The 24,155-nt window shown below is 41.5% G+C and overlaps 3 protein-coding genes and 1 pseudogene across 4 annotated transcripts, besides 10 other annotated features; 3 read left to right on the forward strand and 1 right to left on the reverse strand.

Annotated features, from left to right (window-relative positions):
• Positions 9,129 to 9,258: an enhancer, noted in NCBI's record as "active region_24211". NCBI's record gives its function as "activates an Ori minimal core promoter by ATAC-STARR-seq in GM12878 lymphoblastoid cells {active_cell/tissue: GM12878}" and the evidence as "EXISTENCE:reporter gene assay evidence [ECO:0000049][PMID:35858748]".
• Positions 9,309 to 9,398: an enhancer, noted in NCBI's record as "active region_24212". NCBI's record gives its function as "activates an Ori minimal core promoter by ATAC-STARR-seq in GM12878 lymphoblastoid cells {active_cell/tissue: GM12878}" and the evidence as "EXISTENCE:reporter gene assay evidence [ECO:0000049][PMID:35858748]".
• Positions 9,479 to 9,828: an enhancer, noted in NCBI's record as "active region_24213". NCBI's record gives its function as "activates an Ori minimal core promoter by ATAC-STARR-seq in GM12878 lymphoblastoid cells {active_cell/tissue: GM12878}" and the evidence as "EXISTENCE:reporter gene assay evidence [ECO:0000049][PMID:35858748]".
• Positions 9,479 to 11,068: a biological region, named in NCBI's record as "NANOG-H3K27ac-H3K4me1 hESC enhancers GRCh37_chr6:26216641-26217292 and GRCh37_chr6:26217293-26217944".
• H2BC8 (H2B clustered histone 8) lies at positions 9,527 to 10,015 on the reverse strand. The gene has a single exon (NM_003518.4). It carries the CDS (start codon positions 9,968 to 9,970, stop codon positions 9,590 to 9,592), a length of 381 nt encoding a protein of 126 aa, NP_003509.1. The 5' UTR covers positions 9,971 to 10,015; the 3' UTR covers positions 9,527 to 9,589.
• Positions 9,740 to 10,391: an enhancer, noted in NCBI's record as "NANOG-H3K27ac-H3K4me1 hESC enhancer chr6:26216641-26217292 (GRCh37/hg19 assembly coordinates)". NCBI's record gives its function as "activates a minimal SCP1, AML or CMV promoter by ChIP-STARR-seq in naive and primed H9 embryonic stem cells {active_cell/tissue: H9 hESC(naive and primed)}" and the evidence as "EXISTENCE:reporter gene assay evidence [ECO:0000049][PMID:30033119]".
• Positions 10,248 to 10,764, forward strand: H2AC8 (H2A clustered histone 8). The gene has a single exon (NM_021052.4). The coding sequence runs from the start codon at positions 10,302 to 10,304 to the stop codon at positions 10,692 to 10,694; it is 393 nt and encodes a 130-aa protein (NP_066390.1). The 5' UTR covers positions 10,248 to 10,301; the 3' UTR covers positions 10,695 to 10,764.
• Positions 10,259 to 10,678: an enhancer, noted in NCBI's record as "active region_24214". NCBI's record gives its function as "activates an Ori minimal core promoter by ATAC-STARR-seq in GM12878 lymphoblastoid cells {active_cell/tissue: GM12878}" and the evidence as "EXISTENCE:reporter gene assay evidence [ECO:0000049][PMID:35858748]".
• Positions 10,392 to 11,043: an enhancer, noted in NCBI's record as "NANOG-H3K27ac-H3K4me1 hESC enhancer chr6:26217293-26217944 (GRCh37/hg19 assembly coordinates)". NCBI's record gives its function as "activates a minimal SCP1, AML or CMV promoter by ChIP-STARR-seq in primed H9 embryonic stem cells {active_cell/tissue: H9 hESC(primed)}" and the evidence as "EXISTENCE:reporter gene assay evidence [ECO:0000049][PMID:30033119]".
• Positions 10,959 to 11,068: an enhancer, noted in NCBI's record as "active region_24215". NCBI's record gives its function as "activates an Ori minimal core promoter by ATAC-STARR-seq in GM12878 lymphoblastoid cells {active_cell/tissue: GM12878}" and the evidence as "EXISTENCE:reporter gene assay evidence [ECO:0000049][PMID:35858748]".
• On the forward strand, positions 12,372 to 12,567 carry H3C5P (H3 clustered histone 5, pseudogene; annotated as a pseudogene).
• H3C6 (H3 clustered histone 6) lies at positions 17,505 to 20,800 on the forward strand. 2 transcript variants are annotated; one of them, NM_001381999.1, is made up of 2 exons: positions 17,505 to 17,632; positions 18,229 to 20,800. In NM_001381999.1, exon 2 carries the CDS (start codon positions 18,482 to 18,484, stop codon positions 18,890 to 18,892), a length of 411 nt encoding a protein of 136 aa, NP_001368928.1. In that variant the 5' UTR covers positions 17,505 to 17,632; positions 18,229 to 18,481; the 3' UTR covers positions 18,893 to 20,800. The 2 variants fall into 2 exon arrangements, with proteins under 2 accessions (NP_001368928.1, NP_003523.1); NM_003532.3 differs by lacking the exon at positions 17,505 to 17,632 and having other exon boundaries at positions 18,462 to 18,943.
• Positions 18,472 to 19,088: an enhancer, noted in NCBI's record as "OCT4-NANOG-H3K27ac hESC enhancer chr6:26225373-26225989 (GRCh37/hg19 assembly coordinates)". NCBI's record gives its function as "activates a minimal SCP1, AML or CMV promoter by ChIP-STARR-seq in primed H9 embryonic stem cells {active_cell/tissue: H9 hESC(primed)}" and the evidence as "EXISTENCE:reporter gene assay evidence [ECO:0000049][PMID:30033119]".
• Positions 19,089 to 19,704: an enhancer, noted in NCBI's record as "NANOG-H3K27ac hESC enhancer chr6:26225990-26226605 (GRCh37/hg19 assembly coordinates)". NCBI's record gives its function as "activates a minimal SCP1, AML or CMV promoter by ChIP-STARR-seq in primed H9 embryonic stem cells {active_cell/tissue: H9 hESC(primed)}" and the evidence as "EXISTENCE:reporter gene assay evidence [ECO:0000049][PMID:30033119]".
• Positions 20,801 to 24,155: the final 3,355 nt, after the last annotated feature.

Consider the following 24,155-nt stretch of genomic DNA (forward strand, 5'->3'; position numbering starts at 1 on the left):
ACCCAGGAGGAAGAGGTTGTAGTGAGCCAAGGTGGTACCACTGCACTCCAGCCTGGGCAACAGAGAAAGACTGCCAAAAAAATTAAAAAAAAAAAAAACCGTTGGTTTAGGGTGATAGTTCCATTGAAAATCAGATTTTTCTTCTAGCCAGCAAGTTGTCCGTAGGCTGATACTTTGAAATCAGGAAAATAAATAGTTACTTTGAATGTCATTTTTAAAAAGTGTGAGCTCGTGCATATATATGAAAAGCATCATGTTATTGGTGCTAAGGCACTAGTTCGAGGAGAAAAAGTTTTATGAGGATGTTAATGTAACAACAGCAACAAAAAGGAGCACATAGCATGTACCAAGCATTGTTCTATGCTCTGGGAATTACAGCAGTGAATGAGAAAGAACAAAACGATATGTGTGCATAGAATTTATATTTATTGGGTGGGGGTACACACACAAAATAAGTGAAACAGTGTGTCAGATGGTGCTGACTGCTATGAAGATCACTGAAGCAGGAAAAGGCATAGCATGTGGAGGGAAGAAGTGATATTTTAAATGATATGGTCTTGAAAAATTTTACTCATAAAGTGATAAAGAAAAAATACATTGAGAAAGTGAGAGAGTATTCTAAATAGAATACCCAGCAGGAAAGCATGGAGGTAAAAAGCAGGTATTATGACTGGAAAAAGGGGCAGAGGTGAGGCAGACAATGGAAGGCAGGACAAGGGACCCCTCCACACTTGTTTACTTGCTGTGCTGACTACAGCAGCACCCAGCTCCATAACCTTGCAGCCACTGAAGCTTCCGCTCATAAAATCAGCCAATCAGACATAAAAGAAATAGAACACTCTAACGACAAACATCCTCGCCATCAGCATAGGGACTTCCAAAAGACCTTCCCCAAATGAACATGTGCTATAGGGACTTTGATTATCCTAACCTAACTTTTGCATCATGTTAATGATAAAATTCATACCCCTGCGTGGAGATTTAAGCTGCCAATGAGACCTGAGACACAGGAAAAAGCATGACAAGGGACTGCAAAGGTGTATCCAACAGACCACCCCAAACATGCCATGATGTCACCTAGACGAAGCTCACAGAAGAATAACAAACTAGACTAGCTTGCTTTCAAGGAGCCAGCTGCAAGTATACCTCTGGTTGCTGTCTCCCTTTCTGCTCAAGCCGAAAGCCCTAATAAACTTCCTTGCTCAAGTCCATCTTAGATTCTTGGTCGATTTCTATTTTCTGAGGGTCAAGAACCCACTGCCAGTATCAGACAGGGTGCAAAGAAAAAGCAAATATGATCTGCGAGGCAAATGGAGACGAGTCTCTATATGGCCTTGCAGACCAGTGTGACTACTGTTTTACTCTGAGTGAGATGGGAGCCACTGCAAGGGTTTGATCGGAGAACTGACATAATCTGATTTATAGACACACACACACACACACACATACACATATATATATATATTTTTTTTTTTTTTTTTTTGAGACAGAGTCTCAGTCTGTCGCCCAGGCTGGAGTGCAGTGGCGCAATCTCGGCTCACTGCAACCTCAGCCTCCCAGGTTCCAGTGATTCTCCTGCCTCAGCCTCCCAAGTAGCTGGGACTACAGGTGTGTGCCACCACGCCCAGCTAATTTTTTGTATGTTTAGTAGAGATGAGGTTTCACCGTTTTAGCCCGGATGGTCTTGATCTCCTGACCTCGTGATTTGCCCACCTCAGCCTCCCAAAGGGCTGGGATTACAGGCGTGAGCCACCACACCGGGCCTGATTTTTATTTTTTTAATGAGCTATCTGGATGCCTGATGAAGAATAAACTATGATGAGACCAGGATAGGAGCAAGGAGACCAGTTCGGAGGGTACCACAGTAATGCAGTTGAGATGGCAGTGGCTTGGACCAGTGTGTTAGTGGTAGAGGCTGTGAAAAGTGGTTGGATTCTATATATATTTTGAAGTAAGGTTCATAGTTCTTTTCTGAGCTACTGAATGTGTAGAGTATGAAAGACAGACCAAAATGTATGGATGATTCCAATGATTTTGCCAAAGCAACTGGAACTGGAGGTATCAATTGCTAAAATGTGGAAAAATAAGGAACAAGTTTTGGAGAGGATTCAAATTCTTAGTTTTGGATATCCAGAGAGAATTTAAGATGCCTGTTACATATCTAAGAGAAAGATATGAAAGATATGAAATAGGCAGTTGGCTATAAAAACCTGCAGGTTAGAAAAGAAACATGGAGATATAATTCACAGTCGTCAAACCATAATTGCCGTAAGAGTGAAAAAGCCACAAGATGGGATTAAATATCTTAAGAAAGAAGGTAGATAATAAAGAGAAAAAGTTTTGGGTCAAAGAAGTAAAGAGTGTTTTTTTGTATACATGACATGTGAATTCCTAACTTACAGTTTTACAATTTCTTTCTCCAGTAATTTTCCTTTTCTCCTGTAATTTTCAGAACAAACAATAAATATTATCCCTATTTTACAAATGTGGAAAAATTCCCTTACTAATAAGAGTATGAAATAACACTGGAATCCTCACTTAAATAATCTATTAAAGTTAGAGCCATGGGGAGATCACTTTGGAGATCCAGTTATAGATATTCACAGTTTTTCCAAAATACACCCACTCTCACCACATATTTGGGGACATTTGAATCCCCTGATGCAATTCTATGTGTTCTCAGGCATCCTGAAGCCTATTCGTGGAAACCAGCTTCAGAGCTCTGTATCTGATGCTGCCTTTTCTCTTCCCTTAGCACTGCCACTTCTGATGGCTCTGAGAAGATGGACCTGGAGAATGAAAATCTCCATCTGATTCTTTTGAACTGATATTTCCTTGTTGCTGTGGAGATACTATATATATATATTTATGTCATGAACACTAAATGACCAGCCTACAGCGTTGTACTCCATACTCAGAGACCCTGTTATTTACTTGAAAGTCCAATTAATATGAACTTCAAATTTCAACAGAATCTCGTTATCTTTGCCAAACAGCTAATCTCATCATCTTGAAATTGGTGAATGGCATTTATACACTTTTAGTTGGAATCATCTCTTTTTCTTTCACATCCTACATAATAATCTATCAGTAAGTTCTATGAGCTCTTCCTTGAAAACACAAACAGAATTCAACCATTTCTCATTCCCACTGCTGCTACTCTGGTCAAGCCCTGCCATCTCCTACCTTTATTATTGCAACACCATCATCACCTGGTTCTCCCAGAGGAATTCCAATAAAGGGCAATTCAGATCAGATGACTCCTCTGCTGAAACCCCCCCAAGTGGTTCTCATGTCACTTAATGAAAAACTCAAGGCCGGGAGCAGTGGCTCACGCCTGTAATCCCAGCACTTTGGGAGGCCGAGGCGGGCAGATCACGAGGTCGGGAGATCCAAACCATCCTGGCTAACACGGTGAAACCCCGTCTCTACCAAACATACAAAAAATTAGCCGGGCGCAGTGGCGGGCGCCTGTAGTCCCCAGCTACTCGGGAGGCTGAGGCAGGAGAATGGCGTGAACCCGGGAGCCGGAGCACGCAGTGAGCCGAGATAGCGTCACTGCACTCTGGCCTGGGCCAAAGAGCGAGACTCCGTCTCAACAACAACAACAAAAAAACACCTCAAGGTCCTTTCAGTGGGTTACAGCGCCACACTGTCTGATCCTTGTTACCTCTTTAGCCTCAAATCCCGCTACTCTTCCTCTCCTTCCTAGCCAACTCGACTAGTTCCTGGAACTTGCTAGAAGTACTCATCACTCTCAGGAAGGACGTACTAATGGTTCCCCTTGAGTGGTCCACTCAGCTTCTAGGTTTCTGCAGGTGTTGTTCACTCACTTCCTTCAGGTTTGTATTCAAATATCATAGTCTTCTTGAGGCTATCCATAACAACACTGTTTAGCATTACAACACCTCCCCACCGCCTCCCTCTATATTTTTTCCTGCCCTTGAGGAGCTTTCAGTCTATTTGGTCAGTCAAAACATGCCCTCATGGGAAGCAGAGCAGGAATTAAATATTATATAGAATGTCAGAAAAGAGGCCAGGCACAGTGGCTCACGCCTGTAAGCCCAGGAATTTGGGAGGCTAAGGTGGGTAGATCACATGAGGTCAGGAGTTCGAGACCAGCCTGACCAACATGGTGAAACACTGTCTCTACTAAAAATACAAGATTAGCCAGGCACAGTGGCTCACGCCTGTAAGCCCAGGAATTTGGGAGGCTAAGGTGGGTAGATCACATGAGGTCAGGAGTTCGAGACCAGCCTGACCAACATGGTGAAACACTGTCTCTACTAAAAATACAAGATTAGCCAGGCATGGTGGCACACGCCTGTAATCCCAGCTACTTGGGAGGCTGAGGCAGGAGAATTGCTTGAACTCAGAAAGTTCAGAAAATAGTATAAATCATGTCGGTATTGGAAGAGATGGTTGATGCTTGGACAAGTGGCTTGTTAGGCCAATGACAGGAATGTAGACTTTCTTCTGAACATCGGGAACCACGCAAAATCCCTTTCCTGACCCCTCAACTGTTCTGATTATGTAAAACAATTCTCATATCTTTTACAAAACTATTTCTTGCACTGAGTATATTGAATTCAAATTATGTGTTTAATTTATCTGAACAAGTGCCTGAATGGATATGAATAAAATAAATACAAATCTAAATGAATTTACAAATGATAAAATGAAATACTTCAGCGTACATGTGAAGTATTTCCTTTCCCTTGCAGAAAAGGAAAATATTTCAAGAAGAATCCCTTACAAAACAAGTCTCACAGGCCGGGCGCAGTGGCTCAAGCTTGTAATCCCAGCACTTTGGGAGGCCAAGGCAGGCAGATCACCTGAGGTCAGGAGTTCAAGATCAGGCTGGCCAACATGGTGAAAGCCCATCTCTACTAAAATACGAAAATTAGCCGGGCATGGTGGCACACATTTGGCCTGTAGTCCCAGCCACTTGGAAGGCTGAGGCAGGAGAATCACTCAAACCCGGGAAGTGGAAGTTGCAGTGAGCTGACATTGCACCACTGCACTCCAGCCTGGGCGACAGAGCGAGACTCCATCTGAAAAAAAAGGGAAAAAGGGAAAAAAAAATCGAGTCTTATATAGTAGCAGAGATTTTTGTTAAGTGCTCACTCTTTTTTCAGCATCTACAGACTTTTGGAGTATAAGGGGAGATTTCCTTTTTCATAACCAAATTTTTGCTATAAGCAATATTTCATAGTTTACAGAAGTTCTTTTTATAGAAGTTGAAGTGACTTTTCCACAAACATGTTTGTACATTATTTTTCTTGTTTCTTGTTTGTACTTCTAGATACATTTAAAATTGTAATAAATCGATATACAAGTTATAAAGAATAATATGATGGCCATGCTTGAACCCAATTGTCAATCAAATATATTTGTTATATCTGTTATATTTGTCATATTACCAAAAACTGCTTTGACCTCTTCTGTCATCTTCCTGCTACTGCCCCCAGAGGTAACCATGACCATAAATTATGTCACTTTCTGGCCTTAATCCTTCTTGTTCCTCTGTTCCTTACAGTCATTTTGTACTTTTTAAATTAGCCTTCCCATTTGATCCTCTTTGAGGTCATTAGGACATTATTTCATAAACATGAACATGTGCTCAGAGTCACACATATTATTAGGTGGTTCACAAATACTTCTTAGTCTATTTTTTCCTGGTTTATTTCCTTTTATGCTAGGATATTCTATTCTCTTGATTTTCGATTTCTTTAGTCAGCGTATCTTAAATTTACTCTATTCATTTGTATATTGCATAGGATAATAGCTGGTATGTAGTTGGTGCTCAATAATTACTTGTGGAATAAATTAATTTTTCTTAACATACAGCAGGGAGACTTGGAGAGGAAAGGGCCTAGGGAGAGTTTCCTATTTCTTTTTTTTTTTTTTTTTTTTTTTTTTTTTGAGACGGAGTCTCACTCTGTCGCCCAGGCTGGAGTGCAGTGGCACGATCTCGGCTCACTGCAAGCTCCGCCTCCCGGGTTCACGCCATTCTCCTGCCTCAGCCTCCCGAGTAGCTGGGACTACAGGCGCCCGCTACAACGCCCGGCTAATTTTTTGTATTTTTAGTAGAGACGGGGTTTCACCGTGTTAGCCAGGATGGTCTCGATCTCCTGACCTCGTGATCCGCCCGCCTCGGCCTCCCAAAGTGCTGGGATTACAGGCGTGAGCCACCGCGCCCGGCCGAGTTTCCTATTTCTTAACCACACCATTGATAGTTTGGGATAGAGACAAATAGAGAAAGTTATCTTTAGAGGAGCTGTCTGTTGCACCAAAAAAAAAAATGTAACAGCACTGTTAACATCTTGGCATTGACCCTTATAGTCACTCTTTTTTCCTAAAACTATATGTGTGTGTGTGTGTGTGTGTGTGTGTGTGTGTGTGACATCATGTAAATAAGAATACACTACTTGGCAACTTGGATTTACCCCATACAATGCCATGAGCATATTTTATGTCGTTTTTTTTAAAGCATTCTTTTTAACAGCTGCATAATATTCCATTAGGGATAAAACCTAGTTTTAGGCAAAGTCCAACTCTTCAACATTAGTATTTCCAGTTGTTAGCCACAGTAAACAAAAATATGGACAATATTAACAAAATTAGAAGTTAAAATCAATGAGTTTGTATATTTTTAAATATTTGCAGAAAAGAAAAGGGAGTAGTCTGGAATGGGGACTAGATTTCAAACTTGGATGAGTAAGTGAAGCCAGGTAGAGTATCATAAGGTCTGTCTTGGTTGTGCTGAGTTTCAGATGCCTGTGAAATACTTATTTCATGTACTATTTAGAAGCCTAATCACCATAATTTTTGATATTGACTGAATTGCCTGACTGAAATCCAAGTCAGCCCACAATTCAAACATTGAAGTCCAATACCAACTACTTGAAAATGTGACTATTTGGAGATAAGGTCTTTAAAGGTGTAAAATGAGGTTTTAAGGGTAGGTCCTAATCTATTCTGACTGCTGTCCTTATAAGATGATATTAAAACACAACCCACACACACACAGGGAAGACCAGAGAGGGGAAAACCCAAGGAGAGTGGCCCCAGAAAAAATCAATCATGCTCACTGGTTTGATCTTGAACTTGTAGCCTTCAGAATTGTGACAAAATTAATTTTTTTAAGCCACACAGTCTTTGGTAGTTTGTTTTGGCAGCCCTAGCGAACACACTTCTCAAACATTTTCATTCTGGGAATACTTTTCTCCACACCTTTTCTATGTTATGCTAGCTTTTGTACTCCACAAAGACAAACACACAGAACACAGATGCACACCCACCCCTACTGTATGTTGTAGGGGAGGAAAGAGCGTTTCCTTTTACCCATCTTATGTTCATTGGCTGGGGCCCTGAAACAAAATACAGATTAACAACAGAAAAATATACACTTTATTTTTATTTTGATTTATTTATTTATTTTTGAGACGGAGTCTTGCTCTGTCGCCCATGCTGGAGTGCAGTTGCCCGATCTTGGCTCACGGCAAGCTCCACCTCCCGGCTTCATGGCATTCTCCTGCCGCAGTCTCCCGAGTAGCTGGGACTACAGGTGCCCGCCACCACACCCGGCTAATTTTTTTCAATTTTCAGTAGAGACGGGGTTTCACCGTGTTAGCCAGGATGGTCTCGATCTCCTGACCTCGTGATCCGCCCGCCTCGGCCTCCCAAAGTGCTGGGATTACAGGCGTGAGCCGGCGTGAGCCACCGCGCCCGGCCAAGAGAAAAACATTCACATTTAATATGAAGTTTTACATGACATAAGGAAATAAGGACCTGAAGAAGGGCTTAAACCTGAGTGTGTTTGCACTAGGTTTGATGAAGAGAGTCATGCAGAAATATAACAAGACAAAAATAATATGAGCTAAGGATAATAAACAAGGAGAAATCTAGCAAGGTTTATTTGTTCAGATTCCTCGCATACTCTGCAAGACTCCCAGGAGGGTCTTAAGACCTGCTTCAGAGGAAGGTCATACGAACATTCTTGTCTATGTTGTTCTACTAATGTCTTAGAATATTTACTATGTCAAGGCGCCATACTTTGGAGTACTATGTTGTCAGAAACCTGAGGTTGCTCATGGAGTACTATGGAGTAGTGACCTTTTTTTTTTTTTTGGTCCCATTTTAGAAATTTGATTAATGAGTATAAACTAATGGTTTCTATGTTTGAGACGGAGTTTCGTTCTTGTTGTCCAGGCTGGAATGAAATGGCGGGATCTTGGCTCACTGCAACCCCCGCCTCCCGGTTTCAAGCGTTTCTCCTGCCTCAGTCTCCGAAGTAGCTGGGGTAACATAGGCATGCGCCACCACGCCCGGCTAATTTTGTTATTTTTAGTAGATACGGGGTTTCACCATGTGGGTCAGGCTGTTTTTGAACTCCTGACCTCAAGTGATCCACCAGCCTCGCCTCCCAAAATGCTGGGATTACAGGCGAGAGCCACTGCGCCCAGCCAGCCAAAACTGTAATTTTTTTTTTTTTTTTTTTTTTTTTTTTTTTATGAGATGGAATCTAGCTCTTTCGCCCAGGATGGAGTGCAGTGGCGCGATCTCTGATCACTGCAACCTCCGCCTCCCGGGTTCAAGTGACTCTCCAGCCTCAGCTTCCAGAGTAGCTGAAACTACAGGTGAGTGCCACCACGCCCGGCTAATTTTGTTTGTATTTTTTTAGTAGAGACAGGGTTTCACAGTGTTAGCCAGGATGGTCTCGACCTCCTGACCTCGTGATCCGCCCGTCTCGGCCTCCCAAAGTGATGGGATTAGAGGCGTGAGCCACCGCGCACGGCGGAAAACGAGATTTTTTAGATCAACTTTACATTGCCAATGCCCATGGTATTCCCTCCACAACAAACTCCACAAGAGTGCTCAGAAAAGTCAAACTTGTTATCAGGTGATCTTTAGGGACCCAAAGACTACTCTTCCTACCCTTTCCAGTGTTGCCCAGGCTGGAATTGCACTAGCGTATTCACATGTTCCTGCAGTCTCTAGCCCGAGAGTTTAAGCTATCCTACCACCTCAGCCTACCGAGTAAATGATAGTACAGACGCAAGCCGTCACACCTGGTTAGCTTCATTTTTTTGCAGAGACGAGTTCTATGTTGCCCAGGCAAATCTGTTAACTCCTGAGCTGAAGAAAGCCTCATGCATCGACCTCCCAAAGTGCTAGGATTACAGGATCTTGCCAACACAGAACAGGAGTATCTCCTGATCAATTTTTTTTGAGACGAAGCCTCGCCTTTGTCGCCCAGGCTAGAATGCAAAAGCGCCATGTCTTTTCACTGCAACCTTTGCTTGCTGGGTTTAAGTGATTCTCCTGCGGCAGCCTCCCGAGTCTCTGGGATGACACGCGACTGCCCCACGCCCGGCTAATATTTGTATTTTTAGTAGAAACGAGATTTAACCACGTTAGCCAAACTGGTCTCGATCCGCACGCCTCGGCCTCCCAAAGTGCTGGGATTACAAAATCGGAAAAATTATTCCCTAGAAAACGGTGAAATTCAATATTAAAGCTCTTTATGTGAGACTTGAGTGGCTCTGAAAAGAGCCTTTGAGTTTTAAAGCACCTAAGCACACATTTACTTGGAGCTTGTATACTTGGTGACAGCCTTGGTACCTTCGGACACTGCGTGCTTGGCCAGCTCTCCGGGAAGCAGCAGACGCACGGCGGTCTGGATCTCCCTGGAGGTAATGGTCGAGCGCTTGTTGTAGTGGGCCAGACGGGAAGCCTCGCCTGCGATGCGTTCGAAGATGTCGTTAACGAAGGAATTCATGATGCCCATGGCCTTGGATGAGATGCCAGTATCGGGGTGAACCTGTTTTAGCACCTTGTACACATACACGGAGTAGCTCTCCTTACGACTGCGCTTGCGCTTCTTGCCATCCTTCTTCTGCGCCTTGGTCACAGCCTTCTTGGAACCCTTCTTCGGAGCAGGAGCTGACTTAGCTGGTTCAGGCATGCTGTCAGAAAACAATAACAGCAGTGAGAATGAACGCACTTAAATAAAAGCTCGTGTCTAGAGTCTCTCCTTTTATAGGCCTTTCATGCAAATAAAGAATTCAAAATATCCAGCTCTGATTGGGCAATGTGTTAGTGACGCATACATGTAAAATAGCCTTCACCTTATTTCCTTTCTAATTGGTTGGCTCGTCAAAGAACAATTTTAACCAATCAAATTGCGCCTTTCACAATTCTACCGATGACTATAACTAGCTTCTTATTCCTCCATCGAGCCCATTCTTTTTCTTTATTCAGTGGATTGTTAGTTCTTCTGCTGTTAGGAAGCCACTATGTCTGGACGTGGAAAGCAAGGCGGCAAAGCTCGGGCAAAAGCTAAAACGCGTTCTTCCAGGGCCGGTCTTCAGTTTCCAGTTGGCCGTGTGCACCGCCTCCTCCGCAAAGGCAACTACTCCGAACGAGTCGGGGCCGGCGCTCCAGTGTACCTGGCAGCGGTGCTGGAATATCTGACGGCCGAGATCTTAGAGCTAGCTGGCAACGCGGCTCGCGACAATAAGAAGACCCGCATCATCCCGCGCCACCTGCAGCTAGCCATCCGCAACGACGAGGAGCTAAATAAGCTTCTAGGTCGCGTGACCATCGCGCAGGGCGGTGTCCTGCCCAACATCCAGGCCGTATTGCTGCCTAAGAAGACGGAGAGCCACCATAAGGCCAAGGGCAAGTGAAATGATTACTAGTCAAATCCGTCAGTGATCCCGAGTCCCAGAAACCAAAGGCTCTTTTCAGAGCCACCCACCTTTTCTGTAAAGTGCTGGAATACACATACGATGCCTGAAATCTCAATGTTCACTGTCCTAATTTTTAACGAACGCTTCTGACGTTACTGGTCAGTTCTTTATTGAAATCCTTGCTCACATTTCATGCACTAATTTATCTTACTGGTGTTTCTTTGCAGTAAAAATGCGTTTATAAAGGTATACAAGAATAGAAACCGAGGTTGTGACACCAAGGTTTCACTGCGTTATTTTGTGTATAGGTCCATGCTGTGTATACAAATTTATCATTAATACACAGGCTGTTTATTCATGTGCACTTGTCAGAAAAGGGTGAAATATTAATACAGAAACGAGAGAACAAAGAAGGATAGCTGCCCATTAGCATTTCAGGGCGGGCTTTTTAAGTTTTAAAGATGACTGCATTCCGGCTGGGCTCAGTGGCTCATGCCTGTAATCCCAACACTTTGGGAGGCCAAGGAGGGCGGATCATAGGGTCAGGAGTTCGAAATCAGCCTGCCCAACATAATGAAAGCCCGTCTCTACTAAACAAATACAAAAAGTAGCCGGGCGTGGTGGTGTGCATCTGTAGTCCCAGCAACTTGGGAGGCTGAGGCAGGAGAATCGCTTGACTCCGGGAGGCAGAGGCTGCAGTGAGCCGAGATCACGCTATTGCACTCCAGCCTGGGTAACAGAGCAAGACTACGTCTCAAAAAAAAAAAAAAAAAAAAAGACTACATTCCTCTAGTGAGAATTGTGTTTGTTGGATTTCTCTTTTCAAAAGGAGCAATTAACACAGTATTCTAAAATAAACACTAAACGAAACTAAGCAGTAACGGCCTGACGCCCTAGGTCAGACCTGTAATCCCAGCAATTTGAAAGACTAAGGCAGAAGAATCGCTTGAGCCCAGGAGATCAAGACCAGCCTGGGCAATAAAGCGAGACAGCCCCCTCACCTCCACAAAAAGTAAAAAGCCTGCCCTGCCCGGTGGCTCATGCCTATAATCCCAGCACTTTGGGAGGCCGAGATGGGCGGATCACTTGAGGTCAGGAGTTCGAGGCCAGCCTGGCCAACGTGGCAAAACCCTGTTTCTACTAAACATACAAAAAAATTAGCCAGGCATGGCGGTGGGCTCCTGAAATCCCAGCTACTCGGGAGGCTGAGGCAGGAGAATCGCTTGAACCCGGGAGGCGGGGGTTGCAGTGAGCCAAGATCATGCCATTGCACTCCAGCCTGGACAATAGAGCGAGACTCCGTCGTCTCAAAAAAAAAAAAGAAAAGAAAAGAAAAAGCCTGGCCTGGTGGCTCAGTCTGAGATCTTAGATACTTGGGAGAATTACGCGGGGAAGGATTGATTGAGCCCAGGAGTTCGAAGCTGCAGCGAGCTATGGGGGGCAAAGCAAGATCCTGTTTAGGAAAGGAAAAAAAAAAAAAAACAAAAAAAACCCAGCAGCAAAAACTTAGTTTTATGACCTAAATTTATAAATGGACTACACTGTAAAGCACAATTAATTATTCAACTTTAGTAGAAATCCAGTCACATTTCTCTGTAAAAAATCTCAAATCTAATTGGATCACACACCAGGCCCTATAAAGAGAAGTGATCTGTAAATCTGATATGAAAGGTCATGGCCTGCACCAAGCCAACCACACGGAAGTCCACTGGTGGCAGACAGCCTCCTAAGCAGCTGGCCACCAAGGCAGCCAGCAAGAGCACTCTGGCCACCAGCAGCTTGAAGGTGTCCCTCAGATATAGGCCCTGAATCATGCTGAAATTCATCGCTACCAGAAGTCACTGAGCTACTTAAGGGAAAAGCTGCCCTTTCTTAAATGTTAGGACAAGGTTGCTGAATGAGATTATTAAAAAAATTAATGCCCCTAGGGTTCTAAATAATTGCAGTTATATGTGTTCCACTGAACAGAAGTTATTGGCATCACAAATAATTTGCATCAAAAATAATTTCTGGTGATACAAATAACAGAAATTATTTGCATCACCAGACAAAAGCCTCCAAGAAGTAACTTCGATAGTTTGATACCTTTAATCAATGGTAAATTGTGAGATGATGTAAGCACATTTCCCTGCAAACTTTGTAAAAACTATAAATTTTTTATAGTGGGATACATTCTTCCCCCTCCCTTTTTTCCTCACAAGTCTTACAATGTTTCTTAAATAAAATTTTCACTAAAACACGATTAAAATATAGCAATTGCAAGATAAATGTCTATGAAGCCCCATAGTATAACTCCCTGACATTCTTTACTCAATCAAATTGGGGCTCAGAAACAATACCCCAAAATGAAGGCCAAAGAAGCAACCTCAGAAGCAAAATTTTTCTGTGACTTTCTCCTGCCCTCTTGTCTCTCAGTCCCATTCTCCCCTGAGGCTAGACATAGAAACTAGAATTCCGGTTTCCCAAGGTGGCTTATGACAACCAGAATCCTTTTTCCCCAAAGCCAACCACAAAAACTAAAAATATTACTCTAACTTCCCTTCCAACTTTTCGTGTAAAAACTGGACACAGAGAAATTATTTGATCCACCTTGTTTAATTGCAGGTCATAAGACCCCATTCCAGAGATGGAGCTGTCCCATACCCAATACCCAGAAGGAAGGAATGCATGTTCAAAGAGGTGAGGGATGAAATGAAAATTCTAAACCCCTTTGACAGAATAATGGACCCTCCTTTGGCTAAAAGACCCCAAAAGTTTAAGTTCCCAGGCATGACAGGATGGAGGCTGCACATCCTGTTTGTTTCTACCCCTCTTCCCCTTTCTAATCACTGCTAGATTTTCTCAAAGTCCGATTTGAGGGAATAATACACCGGAAAGCCCTTTTACTTACTTTATCTGGCCTCTTCCACCCTCCTCCATGGTGGTCCAGACAAGACAGATATTAAGGACCATAGAGTTTCTTGATAAATGACTGCAGGCCCACAACTGGTTGTGACCAGTCTCCTGAGAATGCAGATCATGGACTTCTGCCCTACATTTCAGTTTTATATATAGGACCTAATTATAACTCATTTAAATGTTAAATCTTCACCCCAAAGTGATCATGGGACATATCTTACATACATGTAAACCTAATACACATCTGATTGGGTGTCCTTCATGAATATTCATAGCTCCTCCTATAACCTGTTGAATATGTATATTTCTCCAACCCAATCCTCAAAAATTCCTGTTTTATCCCTCCCTGCTTCCCTCCAAGTGCCTGTCTCTCAGCAAACCAAAGCTACCCTTCCCAGCCTGTCAGAATGGCCACCTTGCAGGCTGCAACTCTTTGAGAAATAAAGCTCCTTTGCAAATGTATGAACCTTCTCATTCTTCAGTTGACAGAGGCCAAGAAGAGTCTAGACAAACAGGCCTTGCTGGGTTTCTCCACTCGGTTTATTAACGTTTCATCATACCCTTTTTATCCAATCAAATTTCTACAAGGTTGTCCATATGTTGTTGAACCTAAGCATAGAATTGGACAATTTTTCCTGTATCTTTGTGTTTTCATCCTAAAGGCTCCCTTGAAGACGTTAATAAATTTGTGTAACTTTTCTCCAATTAATCTGCCTTTTGCAAGCTAATCTTACAGCAAAGCTTCAGAGCTCGCCTTGGCTCCTATATAATAATAAACACTTTAACTTTTTATTCTTTTTAGACTTCAAAGTAATTGACCTGATGTTCTCATCCGAGTTTTTCTTGGAGCTTATGTAGCTTCCAGGAATAGCAAATTATTTTCCGGACTTTCTTCTTTTCATGAAATGGCATTGTGCTTCCACAGTGATTTCTCTTCCCCTTTTTTTAAACACCAGAATTAGCAGTTGTAGAGGCTGTCCCTCAAAAATATATGATCGAGGGGAAAATATTCATATAACATTTCTTTTTTTGTTGTTTTGTTTTGTTTTTTTTTTTTCATTTTTGGGTCATGCTCTGTTGCCCAGACTGGGTTGCAGTCTCACAATTATGACTCACTGCAGCCTCAAATTCCTAGCCTCAAGCAATCCTCCTAACTCAGCCTCCTGGGTCACTGGCATTATCGGACTGAGCCACTGTGCCCGGCTAAAAGAATTTCAAATACTGTCCACTTACTGATATTTTGCTATGGAAAAATTCAAACATCAATAATTTTGCTAGTTGCCCACCTCTTCTTGCGTCATTGAGTAATGGCTTAACAAGCCCCCTTAGCTCTCTAACACAACTGTATAGACATATAGATGTAGATATAAATATAGATATTGATTTATTGTAAATAAAGTCCAGATGCTATAACTGGGTTCATAGAAATATATTGAATGTACTCATTGTTTCAAGGCCTATGCTGTCAAGATATGGTAAAGAATCAAGAAACAGAGAAGAGAAATGAAGAATCCTGGAACAGTGCTATCTACAAAGAATAATGCAAGCCACGGCCAGATGCGGTGGCTCATGCTTGTAATCCCAGCACTTTGGGAGGCCAAGGCAGGTGGATCACCTGAGGTCAGGAGTTCAAGATCAGCCTGGCCAAAATGGTGAAACTCCCCCCATCTCCACTAAAAATACCAAAACTACCTGGGTGTGGTGGCTGGTGCCTGTAATCCCAGCTACTCAGGAGGCTGAGGCAGGAAAATCGCTGGAACCGGAGAGGCAGAGGTTGCAGTAAGCTAAGACGGCAGCACTGCACTGCAGCCTGGGTGACAGAGCAAGACTCTGCCTCAAAAAAAAAATAAAAATAAAAAAGAATAATGCAAGCCACATATGTAATTTTGAATTTTCCAGTAAGCACATTTTAAAAATTAATAAGCAGGTAAAAGAATTTTAATAATTATTGTATTTAAAACAAAATACAAAATAATTATTTCAAAATATAGTCAATATAAAAACATTATTAATGCAATATTTCACATTCTTTTTTAAATCTTAAGTCTTCTAAATATGAGGGACATCCTATTCAATTTGATATTACATTTTTGTTGGAAATAAATGGAATTTCATTTTGATTTCATAAATTTCAGTGCTGAAAAATAAAATTCATATATCTGATTGTTTAAAACATATCTAACATTTTCCAATAACTGAAGTATCAGCCTTTGAATTAAAATAATGAAAAGTAAAATAAAAATTCAGGCCGGGCACAGTGGCTCACGGCTATAATCCCAGCACTTTGGGAGGCCGAGGTGGATGGATTACTTAAGGTCAGGAAATCGAGACCAGCCTAGCCAACATGATGAAACCCCGTTTCTACTAAAAATACCTCCACCCCACCCCCCCCAAAAAAATAAGCCGGGCATGGTGACAAGCACCTGTAACTACAGCTACTCTGGAGACTGAGGCAGGAGAATCGCTTAAACTCGGGAGGTGGAGCTAACAGTGAGCTGAGATCACCCCACTGCACTCCATCCTGAGTGACAGAGCAAGACTCCTTCTCAAAAAAAAAAGAAAGTCAGTCCTCAGCAGCAACAACCACATTTCAAATGCTCAGTAGCCACAACTGGTTTCTGACTGTTTTATCACATAACACAGATCCTATGGGAAATTGTGTTCAGGTATGGAAATAGTGATGGAAATTACTGATTAATACAAGTGAGCTGCTAAGTTCTTATGTAATCATGTAAATTTTGCACTGACTTCTAAAATAAAGCTTTACACATATTTAGAGATGAGGATTATGAAAGGAACTGAAGGTAGGTTCCAATGGCAAAACACCGGATTGACAGATTTAAGAACACTGGGGAGGAAATAGAACTATGGGGCATAAAGATGGAATTTCCTTAATGGTTCTCACTGACTGTGACCTAAAGTTTATCTTTTGATTTTGGAAACATTTTTTAGATGTAGATATTAACATTCTAATAATAGAAATGAAAAAACTAAAATGAAAATGAGAAAACAGAAGATAATATCAATAAACAGGTCTTGGGCCTCAGAAGATGAGATGTAGGGAGTGTGGAGAGGAAAAGCACAGGGGGTGCATAGCTCTCATTAACAAACGGCCCAGCCCACAAATACGTAATCATATTATACAAAAGGATTTCAGTTCTTCCCTTGCTTCCTATGAAACAATTTTGCCAACATACCTAACCGTTTTACCGTGATTTAAAGTGTACAGAATTTTCTTTTTCTGAAAAGGAGAGAAGCAAGGGACTCATATATATTTCAGATGTGAGATTGAAACGCACGACAATGTGTAATTTCAGTCAAGACTTGCCCACGAGTCCTAAGATAATTCAAATTTGCAAAATAGACACTAACTTGAAAGGTGCAATTGTATCAATCCTGTGGTTAGCAGAATTTTGATGAATGCCCTAAAATAGGGCAGGTTTAACAGAATTCAGGGAATGAGCAGGAATGCACAAAGCATCCTTTGTCTCCTCTCCACTCCAGCTTGCAGACATCCGCGGGCATTTGCGGGCAGTGATAAATTTGGTTTAGCCGTTTCCCCTCCCTGGAGGACGGGGGCTCCAGCATATTCATGATGTCAATCGCCTTGGACTACATGCCAGCGTCATTGCGAACCTGCTACACTTTACAAAATAGCTTTCCAATGAGAAAGAAAACCTACTGGGAAAGAAAAACAAAAAGAAACTAGACCTTGCAACGGGCACGCACGCGCACTATCCCTCTCTGAAATATTTATAGTACGCTTACACAAACGCGAACTTGTAAATCAAAACTCTGCCTGAACCAAAGTAGCCAATAGATTAAAAGTATGTAAATTAGGAATTCCCAAACTGCTCTTTTTATTGGCTAGGAAAAGAACACCTTACAGGGAATCCGATAGGTTAATTCACAATAGTGTTAGGCTGTAATGTCATTCTTTAAGAATCTTTTCCAGTAAACATTTGTTACTTTTTCAAAGTAATTGGGAGCTGTTGAGTGTGGAAGCGAAAACCAAGTTAAGAAGTCCTGTTATTTGGGTGAGTCCAGTTCCTATAAAAGTTCTGTTGGATGTGTCTTAAATTGTTCGGTGCACCTCAGCTCTCTCCCGCAGGGATCCGGAGAAACTGCGCCATTGTTGTCTTACAGAGAAACAACCTTCTAACACTCTCTTCGCCGCCATCTTTTTCAAGATTTTAAATTGAAAATACTTTTTTTGACGGCTCTTGCCATTATGTCTGGACGTTTTAATTTCAACAAAACGAAATAATAGTGTTAAGTTCTTTGAGTCAAACCCGATATTACAGAGGTAGGGATTCCAGGATATTAGAATTTTACTATAACACAAATGAAACACAAAGTTCCTTATGCTTAACAGTGTATCTTAGAAAACCTTGTTTGAGTGAATTAGCCTTGTACTCTATAATGAAACGAGGAATCATTGAGAGATACTTAGGCAACGGATTTTAAATGAGTGAATAAGGAAGGGAAAAACTTCAGGAAAATGCAGAAAAAAGCAGCGGAGATTTTGGAAAAAAAATTCTAAAGCACTTTCTAACGCAAACACATTCGATTTTTTATAGCTAAACAGGATAACAGATCAGTCTATTAAGTTAAATGATCAATGTCTTTGCAGGTCATGGTCTACGTGAAACATCAAAGAAACCTGTAACGGAAAACGACTTGTTTGAAAGAGCCAGTTCTCTATCCAAATTTACCAATCAGAATCTTGCACTGAAAAAATAAACCAATCGTGAATCTCTACGGCCACTTCCGGAATTTAGCAACCGATCACTAACAGGGATCGTCCACAATCCAATCAGAGTGATTCTGTTCCTATATAGAGGGGCAAACCAATCTTCCTAACTCATTTACTTTGCAGATGAACTATGGCGCGTACTAAGCAGACGGCTCGTAAATCCACAGGCGGTAAAGCACCGCGCAAACAGCTGGCCACTAAGGCAGCTCGCAAGAGCGCTCCGGCCACGGGCGGCGTGAAGAAGCCCCATCGCTACCGCCCTGGCACCGTGGCTCTGCGCGAGATCCGTCGCTACCAGAAGTCTACCGAGCTTCTAATCCGGAAGCTGCCGTTTCAGCGCCTGGTGCGAGAAATAGCTCAGGACTTCAAGACCGACCTGCGCTTCCAGAGTTCCGCGGTGATGGCGCTGCAGGAGGCCTGCGAGGCCTACTTGGTGGGGCTTTTCGAGGACACCAACCTGTGCGCTATTCATGCCAAACGCGTGACCATCATGCCTAAAGACATCCAGCTTGCCCGCCGCATTCGTGGGGAGAGGGCGTGAATTGTTTTGAGTACAAACCTTAAATCCAAAGGCTCTTCTCAGAGCCAACCACTTTGTCCGTGAAAAGGGCTGTAATCCTTTGAGACGCATTAGACCACTAAACTGCACTGATCCAAATAGACATTTGAAATAGTGGCATTCAGTTCCCTCGATGCTTCATTTAAATTTCCAAATTTAAGCGCTCCCTCAGGTTTTCGCCTAGGGCTGGGCCTCCCTACGCTGTTCTCCATTGGTTTAGCTGGCTTTGTTTTGCTGTTCAGGCCCTCTGCTGCTTTCTTGTACATTGTTCTCGTTTTCTAAACTCCTGGCCACTTAATTGTACCCTGCTTAACCCATCCTCTTGTTTTCTGGCTCAACGCTCTTTCATGTGGTGGCCTGCATTTTAGGTCTTAACTGCATAGGCTTTCAACGCCTTGGTTTTGCCTTTCCTTGATGTTTATTTGACCTTGCCCGAGGGGCCAGCGCTTTTGATCTGCATCAGGCTGCCTTACTCCACTAGTGTTTTGAGACCCAGCTACTTGCCGGCGACGGTCGGTGCCTTGGGTGCGGTCAACGTTACTCTCTGTGCGCCTGATACTGGTCTAAGGCTAAGGTTATTAGCTGGAACACCTAGACCCGTGGCACTAACACACAGCTCTTGCAGACTTGACAGCCTTGCATAGGTTCTAAACTGCAGGAGTCAAAGCAACGAAGGTGCAGATGGGTGTGTCTCAAACCTGAGTGCGAAAGGAAAATGCAGAAATCATGAGCCTTTTCAACTTTCCAGTTGATATCTTTTGTTTGCTTTTTTCTTTTCTTATTTATTTATTTATTTATTTATTTATTTATTTATTTATTTATTTTGAGACGGAGTTTCGCCCTTGTTGCCCAGGCTGGAGTGCATTGGCGCGATCTCGGCTCACCGCAACCTCCGCCTCCCGGGTTCAAGCGATTCTCCTGCCTCAGCCTTCCGAGTAGCTGGGATTACAGGCATGAGCCACCTCGCCCGGCCTTCCGGCTGATATCTTAAAAGAACTTTTCAACTTTAGTAAATACCCTGTCTTAATCAAATCTCATTAAAAGTACCCCATATTTATCAACAAAACATGAAAATCCTTGGACGGCTTCAAAGTTCTTACAGAAAATATTCTGCCTTTCCTTTCCATACAAAGGCACAGCTTCGAAACTGGTAGGTGAAGGGAAGGAAAATAAGGAATTCTGTTACGAAATCATACAGGCTGTTATTTGGAAATACAGAAGGGTGTATGTACTATATGGGATACTGCATGCTATTTGGAAGAATTTTGTTTATTTAAACATTTCAGCAAATTCCTCAGTTTTGATATGGGGTGCAGTATTTTTAACTCATTGAGAAATTTCTACTAACTTTTTTGAATGTGCTCTTTTCCCACTAGTTGCACTAAGGAAAGAGGTTAGTCATGTGGTAAAATTAATAGTGACAAAGCTGTAAATAGCTCTGCAGGCCAAGGTAGCCATAGTAAGAAGTCCTGGAGATTTATGGAAGAAATTTTTGTTCATGGAAGCCTGTCAGACATGAAGATGTGGGTCTTGTGAATTGGAGATTCAGTGCGTGAGGAAAACAGCCTAACTATCCATAATTAAGGTAACTACTGTCAGATATTTGTAACATAGTGAACATCCTATTATGCTAGATAGAAGCATTCTCTATTTGAATGTTGTTTCCTGTATCCTGTACTTTCTTTAAGATTCTAGCTCAACAAGTTTTAACCTGTATTTCTCTTACAGCTACTGGAATTCAGTACGTGAGGACTTGGACTTGGTGGGCACAGAATGCATCTTTTTATATCATTAAATCCACCAGAACATCTAGCATGGTCATTTGCCTAAAACAAAGCCTCTGGAAATTTAGTCAAGTTGAGATGTAAAATAAAAGATTACTGAACAGAATTTAACATTGAGTGCATTCCTATTTACAAAAATAAAAGATTAGATAAAGTTTATATAATTTTAATATATAGTTTTTCTAAATAGGAAAAATCCACACTTATTGAGTGGCTGCAATGGGCCAGAAGTCATGCAGTATTTTATGAAGCCTCCAAAAATGTAAGTTCAATAGTTATCTATTATCAAAAACAAATTTAAAAACTGAAACTAAGAAAATTTCAGATAGTGCTGGAGCCAAAACTTTCCCCACTAGGCATTACTGTTTTAAATAAACAGCCTCAGCAGAATCCTCATCAGTTACTCCTGAGGGCTTTATCACCTGGAAGAGCTACTAACATGTTTAAATTTTTCATACACAATAAAATAAATGGATGTTTTAAAATTTACAGGGTCTTAGGCCAGGCAGGGTGGCTCATGCCTGTAATCCCAGCACTTTGGGAGGCCAAGCCAGGCAGATCACCTAAAATCAGGAGTTCAAGACCAGCTTGGCCAATATGGATAAACCCCGTCTCTACTAAAAAAATACAAAAATTAGCCGGGCATGGTGGCACTTGCCTGTAATCCCAGCTACTTGGGATGCTGAGGCAAGGAGAATCACTTAAACCTAGGAGGCAGAGGCTGCAGTGAACTGAGACTATGCCACTCCACTCTAGGCTGGGTGACAAAGCAACATTCCATCTTAAAAAAATAATAACACCAGCCTGGCCAACATGGTGAAACACCATCTCTACTAAAAATACAAAAATTAGCTGGGCATGGTGGCAGACACCTGTAATCCCAGCTACTCAGGAGGCTGAGGCAGAAGAATCTTTGAACCTAGGAGGCAGAGCTGGCAGTGAGCTGAGATTGCACCACTGCACTGTAGCCTGGGTGACAGGGAGAGACTCCATCTCAAATAACAATACTAATAATAAGAAAATGAACTTTACAGGGTCTTATATGATTGTGAAGTTCTATTATATTATAATTAGTACTGCAAATTGCACAGAAATGTAACTGATGTACATACAGGAAAATATGACATTAACACTGACAAATTTTAGCCTTTCTGCATACTATTCAAATAGTAGCCTTGATTTAACCACACATACACAGGCAACTTTTTTCAAAGGCATACACTGAGATAGTAGTAAATAATACCAGATGTCTTTAAAATAAATTGTGATTTTATTTGGGGAAGATCTCAAATCTGACCCCTGTAAGATCATACTTTCTATGTACTTGTTGGTACACTATATAGTATATATCCATTTCACAGTTACATAGTTGCCTGCAAGTACTTATAATTAAAATAAAACAAGTATGTAATCTCTGAATAACCAATAGCTTCTTCATATTATAAAGATAATAGCTAAAACTCAAGACAATTCAGAAATCCCATTTTATTATTTCTCCATACTCACCCGACTCGACCTGCCAACAGTAAATATTGATATGTAACATTTTGGAGTTTGCAAGGCAACGGTGAAATTTTTTTTCTTTGTTTTTATTTTGTAGTTGCCCCCACTAAAAATTGTATATATATAAAATGGTATACTTCCGAAGATAAGGTAGTCTGTAAATCAGGCCATGGAAACAAGGGTCATGAAAGGGGCAGAGAAATTTGTTACTCTTCTTTTCCCACACAGGAAAACAGAAAATGAAACCACTGAATTTGATGAGTATCTGACAATAATGTAACCCAACTGATGGAATTTTTTAATTCAGACACACACACACACACACACACACGCCCCTAGAGTAGTGGAAAATAAGACAAATGCTCTAGAGTTCAGTTTAGTTAATGGGAGAAAATAATAGATGCATTAAAATTTTTCTATTGATAATAATTGTTCTCAACTATTAAATGTCATGAAAGCACATTTTCAGAGATAAGTTTATGTTTTGAATTAGAGGGATTTTTGCATGGAGATGTAATTTCAGAAGGAATTGGAAGTATTAGAAAGATTCTCACAGGGAATTGTTCCTGAACAAAGTTGTAAAAAATAATAATAATAATAATAATAATAAAGAAGAAGAAGAAGAAGAAGAAATAGAAAGATTACATTGTTATAGTGTCTGTGAGTGCCAGCAGAGAGTATTATGAAAAGGGGCTAAGATGCTACAGGGCTTTCCCTTGAACCTATGAGAAGCCAGTGACTTTTTTCATAAGGCATATTTGGTTTTTGTTTTTGAAAATGGGCCGGGCGTGGTGGCTGACACCTGTAATCCTAGCACTTTGAGAGGCCGAGGTGGACAAATCACCTGAGATCAGGAGTTTGAGACCAGCCTGAACAACATGGTGAAACCCCCTCTCTACTAAAAATACAAAAACAAATTAGCCAGGTATGGTAGCGTGTGACTGTAATCCCAGCTACCCGGGAGAGTGAGGCAAGAGAATCACTGGAACCCAGAAGGCGGAGGCTGCAGTGAGCTGAGATCGAGCCACTGCACTCCAGCCTGGGCGACAGAGCAAGACTCTGTCTCAAAAAATAAAATAAATAAATAAATAAATAAATAAATAAATAAATAAAGAGTTAAGAATTTAGAAATTGGAGGCTAGAGAAATTAGGGAAATAGTAAGCATTGGAATAATCCCAGCTATGAGAGAATGAAGAGAGAATGTAGACGGGAGAATATGTCAGAATTATTGAGGATTCTTTAAAAATCAACCTGATTTAGTGACTGTGTTAACAGGGATGATTGAGGCCTCCCCACAATACCATGAAATTCTGCATCCTCCAGTTAAAGTAGTGACTTCAGGTTGATCCTAAAAATTACCTTTGTGTCAGACCTATGCCATACACGTAAGTACTCTCCAACAGCTAAGATAATATGAAAATGCCCTTCATAACTTCCATGCTAAGACACTGTTAGTTTTCTTTACCAATCTCAAGATATTCATTATAACTGCTACCAAAATTTTAAGATATGGAGAAAGATTTAAACAAGTTCAGATTTCCTTGAAAACAAGTGCATGTCCTCCGTGGCAAATGAATATGAACATGAATTTATATAAATCAGAGCAACTCTGGAAGATCATTGATTGAATCATCACATTTAATTGCTTCTCTTGCATTCCAAACACATTGTGAAATGGATACTTCACAACGGGCCGGAAACAGAAATACATAAATTCTGCTTATTTCTCAATGAGCCTAAAAAGGAACCGGAAAATACCACTCCTTTTCCAGTTGATGTAACAGAATTGAAGCAGCGTTAAGAATGATTCCAGAAATCAAGAAACTTGTTTGAGACCTAGGTCCACCATTTACTGACAGCAAATGGTCATTTCTTGCCATTTCACCTTTCTAAGCCCCAAGTTTCTTAACAGTAAATCAAGCATTTTAGCTATACCTGATATAAATGCATTGTAACT

The sequence above is a fragment of the Homo sapiens genome, chromosome 6 (assembly GCF_000001405.40).
Source record: "Homo sapiens chromosome 6, GRCh38.p14 Primary Assembly".
Classification (NCBI taxonomy): domain Eukaryota; kingdom Metazoa; phylum Chordata; class Mammalia; order Primates; family Hominidae; genus Homo; species Homo sapiens.

Coding starts and splice junctions, on each gene's coding strand:
- H3C6 (NM_001381999.1), top strand. CDS start 18,482: ATGGCGCGTACTAAGCAGACGGCTCGTAAATCCACAGGCGGTAAAGCA.
- H2AC8 (NM_021052.4), top strand. CDS start 10,302: ATGTCTGGACGTGGAAAGCAAGGCGGCAAAGCTCGGGCAAAAGCTAAA.
- H2BC8 (NM_003518.4), bottom strand. CDS start 9,970: ATGCCTGAACCAGCTAAGTCAGCTCCTGCTCCGAAGAAGGGTTCCAAG.